The 5697-nt window shown below is 35.3% G+C and overlaps 1 annotated feature.

Annotated features, from left to right (window-relative positions):
• Positions 3144 to 3762: an enhancer, noted in NCBI's record as "NANOG hESC enhancer chr10:63403079-63403697 (GRCh37/hg19 assembly coordinates)". NCBI's record gives its function as "activates a minimal SCP1, AML or CMV promoter by ChIP-STARR-seq in primed H9 embryonic stem cells {active_cell/tissue: H9 hESC(primed)}" and the evidence as "EXISTENCE:reporter gene assay evidence [ECO:0000049][PMID:30033119]".

Here is a 5697-nt window from a genome sequence, read left to right on the forward strand (position 1 = left end):
CAATGTAAATACTGGGAGGATGACTTAGGCAGCATCTTCTTTTTCCTCATTCACACTCAATTTGCAATTGATCACTAAATGCTACACAGACTACTTTGTATCTTTATATTCACTCTGCCATATCACTGGTTATTTTCCAATTATACGGGAGTTGGGAGGTGACATCAAGGAATCAGCTCTTTTGAGAAGTTTGGCTAGGAAAGAATGAATAAACCTAAGTTAATTGCTTAAAGAGAAGGCTGGATCAAGAAGGATTTTATGAGCAGGGCTTGGAGGGAAACATGAGAGTGTTTATAATAAGATGCAGAAAAGAGGACGGTGGAGCAAGAGAGATGGCTAGGACACAAGTTAGGATTCTGATGGGTAAAGTATAGGAAAGAGCGAGAATGCAATCAGGTGGAACAGTTTATAAGCTTTTTTAAAAATACACATTCGTGTGCTGGGAAAAACTGGAGCACATCTAAATTTTCGAACAAAGCAGTTAGGTGGATGCCCATTTGAAACCCAATATGCACTGTGAAGACAGTAGATCGCCAGCATCATTGTGGGATATTTAGCATGTGTTGAGCGCTCACCATCTCCCAGGCACCGTACCAGGGCGAACTTACATACATTATCTCATTCAATTACCGCCCTAGCAATTTAGCATGCTAACACCATGAAGTATTAAATGCAGCATAAAAAACCTCCACTAGGAAAGCTTATCAAAAGGGTTATTTTGCTTTTTAACTCAGTTGTAGCAGAATGTCTTGGTGCCATTTTACAGGAATTGAAGAGATGTATTTATATAGTGACTGCAACCAGAATAACTCCCTCCAAGAAAGTTCCCATGAGGCGGTTACAGTGCTCTTCTGGAGTTGTAATAAAGCAAATGATTCAGTAAGTTCAATCCTTCCATTGTGTGATTAACAGAGACACAGAACATTACACAGATCACCAAACTGCAGCGTGCTCACAGCAAAGCACCACAGCCCCAGCCTGACAGCCCAGAGACCAATAGATACCGCTGTCCAGAAAAAAATACAGCCTTTCAGGTAAAAAAGCCTGGTTACAGCAGAGTCCAGAAACATGGTGTTGCTGCTTTTTTGTTTTGCTTTGTTTTGTTTGTTTACTATTTTGTCCTTTACTGTACAGGTAAACCAAGCACCATTTTCTAGCGTTTTTTTTTCTTAAGCAACATGTACATTTCTCAAATAACCCCATTATATTTTTCAATAATATCACTGAGAAATACTATCCACAAATATATGAATGACCTGGATACCTTTCACTCGTGTCAGCCATCATATTTGTATTCTGAATTCATAAATCAGAAAATATTTCATAATCATTGGGATGAGTTTATATGTGGAAATGCAACAAAGAACAGGTTTTTAAAAAAATCTATGGAATATTTCAGAGCGTATGTACAGAAGGAAGTAGAAATAAAGGAAATTTAATTTTAAAAGACAGTCTAAAAGCAAGAAACCAGGCCTAGGATCCATAGCTGCTTCATCAAAATCGCTGCACACCTCTACATGAATGTCCATGCACATGCCCTTTATTCTCACAGAGTTATAAAGAATAAACCCGAAACTCAAGAGAACAGTCTCACCTCACACCTCAGACTACACTAATCCATGCACCAGTAGTCTTGAAACATAATGAAATTGATTGAGCAAGACAAAACACAGAGAATGAAATATTAGTCTCAACAATAACTATAGCATTCCAAAATCCCAAAGAAAAAAAATTACACTGTGATAGGACTGACAAAAAAAGAATATACATATATTTATTTATTGCTTTAACTCATACAGTAGAAAGATTAAATTACATCTAGATTTTTTTATTCTATTCAACACACATGGATTATTGAGGTACTCTACCTACCCCGTATCAATAAATAATATTAAATGAAGGAAGACTGATTCATGACCGGCATAAATTTTTTCAGTATTGCTACTTTCCATGGACATTGCTGCTTTAGTGTTCTCTCTCTGATACCAACACACACACACCACAATCATAACCATAAACTAAATGACTACATACTCCGAATAGATGGCTGTTAGAAAATACTCACACTAATTGATAATGACATCATGCTGGTATGCACATTACAATGTAAATGAGGCTTTCAGACTCATTTATGGCTCTTTTATTCAAAGTTTAGTACTTATTGCTTTTCTTTCAATGGTTAAGAAGGTTCTTCTTAAGGCTGTGGGATTACTTATTCCTGCTGATTTTGCCCCTTGGAATTGGACCAAGAGTACCAATTTTTAACTGTATTTTAAAACAGATGCTTACCAGCAATGAAGCAGAATTGAAATGTATAATGGAAACCACATTACTGGAAGAAAACAAGTAAAGAGAAAACTGATTAACAGATTTATGCAGGCAGCCGTTTGCTTTATTAAAAATTGAATTATTCTTTGCATCAAAATACAATATCACTGTTTCCATGCATTCGTCTGAGTGTGTACGAAGAGAAAGCATCCAAATGAATATCTTTTATTACAGATCGATTTTGAAAGGTGGCTTAAAATCCATCTCACGCACATCTGTAAGCTTAAGTGACTTCTCAGGGTCATATGAAAGATCTAGGAATAAAAAGCATAACTCTGAACTTCCCCTGAAGTGTTTGTAAAACTTGGCCAGATTTAGCAAAACCTGGAAAGAAAACAATGCTTGATATCATGCCCAACTTTTCTTTGGCTCATATCTGTAATGATTCACAGCAAGACCACATGGTTTCCCTATGTCTCAACTCCTTCCTTTTCTACGAATTCATGTTTCGAAAAGCCTCCATTACTCTCTTCAACAATATAGAGTATGGAGGAAAATTAGAGAAATGCAAAGTTACAATCTTGATGGAGATGTAGGAATCTTTTTTTCTTTTTCCTTGTAAGTAAACTTGAACAAAGCTAATCAGTCACATCATTAGGTAGTAAATACTTAAGTACAAGAAGGCTTATGTTCACTGCGTTTAACCCACTTATAAGAACATTCCTCTATGTTTAAAATAATTGCACATTACACATATAAATCATAACAAGTAACTCATTACCTAGATATTGTTCACTTATTACACTGCTCATGATGGAGGGAGGAAACTGCATGTGTTTTCATTCTCAAAGAACTGAATAAGTTTTTTTTTTTAATGTAGTATATGCTCTACTAAAGTGAAGGAGGAGAAAACACTTCATTACTGAAAGTAAATTACTGAGATGTAAAATTGGGATCAGAAATGATGGAAACATTAAGAGAAGTAGACTGTGATGATCTCACCAAGTGATATCACTGTAGTCATTTTTCAGTGCAGTAGTAATTTGGCAGAGGAATGGTCTGACAGTAGCTCTACATTTTGCTTAGCTGAGAGCTTCCCTTGTAGCATAATACATCATGGAATTGAAAGCATTCAGCTTTGTTTTGCAATTCACAATTCAGCCCAGGTGGGCCACTATTACACAATAACCGTGCAGCTGTTAGTATCATTGCCTAAATTGCCCTTCCTTTTTAAAATTTACAGTATAATCTGCTCAACCAATAGATACTAATGTCCAAAAACTCAGCTTTTATTTACCATTTACTCCCTGTAAAGGTCCAAAATAACTAACAAATCATTCTCAAAGGAATTCCAATTATGCTGCTTGTTCCCTTAAAGAGTATAAAGGAGTAAAATGTCAGCATTGTGTGTAAGAAATAAAGTGCTCACAACACCTGCTAACAATACATACTGTATAAAGCACTTAGCCTGTAATGCGTTTCTGGAAATCATTTCAGAAATTTACAAACATAATTTTTGGCCTATCTTCCCACCATTGTAAAGACCCTACCATATGCTACAATTTTCATCTGAATTGCCTGATTCTTTATTCTTGATGTTAATATGGTGGGGGGAGCCTACAGATACATAGATTTTTGTCAGACTTAATGCTCATAAAAATTAATAGCTTCTGTTGAAACTTTCTGATCCCAATGAAATTGTTCATTTATTTCACTGATAGTGTTTGTCTTCCTCCAAAAGCTGTTGAGCACATCCAAAGAGCTTTGTTCAGTCTGACAAATGATAAGTAGAACATGTGTTTACTCATTTGTTTTCAAGCCTTTGAAAACATTTTTTTTTTTTTTTTTGGTTCTAAGGGCTTTCAAAGAGAACAATAAATTAAACAAATAAGTGGGCTGAGAACAGAAAGGTCAAACCTAGGTGTAATCTATGATTTGTCAATAGATGGTAACTAAAATCACAAAGAATGACATCTTTATATTTTACAGATGAGACTGACTACATGCTAAAGAGGCCCTTACCCAATATTTTCACTCTTAACCAGTTCTTTTGGCAACTTTTATAGGATTTTCTTTTTAATCAGGGAAGCATTTTCCTCATCAAATATCTGCCATATCATGTTTAAAATTAGTTCAGAAACAAGCAAATTTCCTCATCCTATTGCCCCATGTAAGCATCTCTCTTTGTTGTTCGCACTGTCTATGTGAGCTTAAGACCAATTCTGTGACTGAAATGATGTTTCCCTCTGACGTGGATATTTCTACATGACAATATTTGACTAACAAGTATATGAATATACCTGACACAGCTTTAGGACTCTAATCTCTATGAACAGTTTCTCAGTATGTGTTATTAAAAAGTTATCTGATCCTGATTCTGTTGTTTTCTGCTTCTCTGAAATAGCTCTCATTCATTAATTATTTATTTGATTTATAGAAAATGTGTTCACTGCCCAAGGACTTCTGGGCTTTTGCATAAAATTTAAACTAAATCTGGCAGCTAAAATCCCTCTTAAACTATAATGAAATTACCAAGTTAATGGAGCAGTGTAATCAAACCAAAGTTAATAAATATGGTGTGGCCTTAATAGATGCCATAAGAACAAATGTCAATAGATATTGACAATTTGCCATGTGAATGCATGACATTTATTATGTTTATACTCATGTTGTCATGCATTTATTATTTTATGGTCCAGTTATACCCAGTGTATTGGAACCACAGCATTGGGCCTTGCAGAAATTAAAGAAATAAACAATTTCCACTTTCCAAAAGTAAGTTATCCAGGATTTTTTTAAATAGCACACATTAAAGTTCACCAGAGGAGTTAGTCCATCAATATGCACACACTCCTACTAACACACACTATGAAAAATGCGCCTTTAAAGCTCAGTAGAAACACACTAGTCTAGAGGTGAGGTTTTTAGTTGGAAATACACTAAATGGTGGTTGTTGCACCTCTTTGTATCTTTTATGCTTCAATGGGGAAAATACTTAAACTCACAGGAGTCTGTTTTTGGCATGCAGGCACATAATCCTTTGGAGCACCCACGGTTCTTGCCTTCTTCGAGAAGCTCTTTATAAACATCTGCTTGCATAGCACAGACTATATTTCAAATTCTGAACTCAAGAATGAAAGTGCTCCCAAAACTGATTGCAGAGCACAGAGAGACAGCCCTTTTACTGAAATGTGTTTTACCAAGTTCTGCTCTGATCCCTAAATTAGATGAAAAGAGATGGCAAACACATACACACGACTGGCTACATCACCTTTTAGATCTTATTATTCTTAAGTTTCTTGTTTATGTGTTCAAAGAAACAGTAATAAACTGCCAGAAAACCTATGTGTTTTTTACTGGCATAAAAAATAAGAAATCACATTATTGATTTACTATTTTCATTAACAACACTGAAATGCTTTTAGCTTT

Source organism: Homo sapiens, chromosome 10 (genome assembly GCF_000001405.40).
Source record: "Homo sapiens chromosome 10, GRCh38.p14 Primary Assembly".
NCBI lineage: Eukaryota > Metazoa > Chordata > Mammalia > Primates > Hominidae > Homo > Homo sapiens.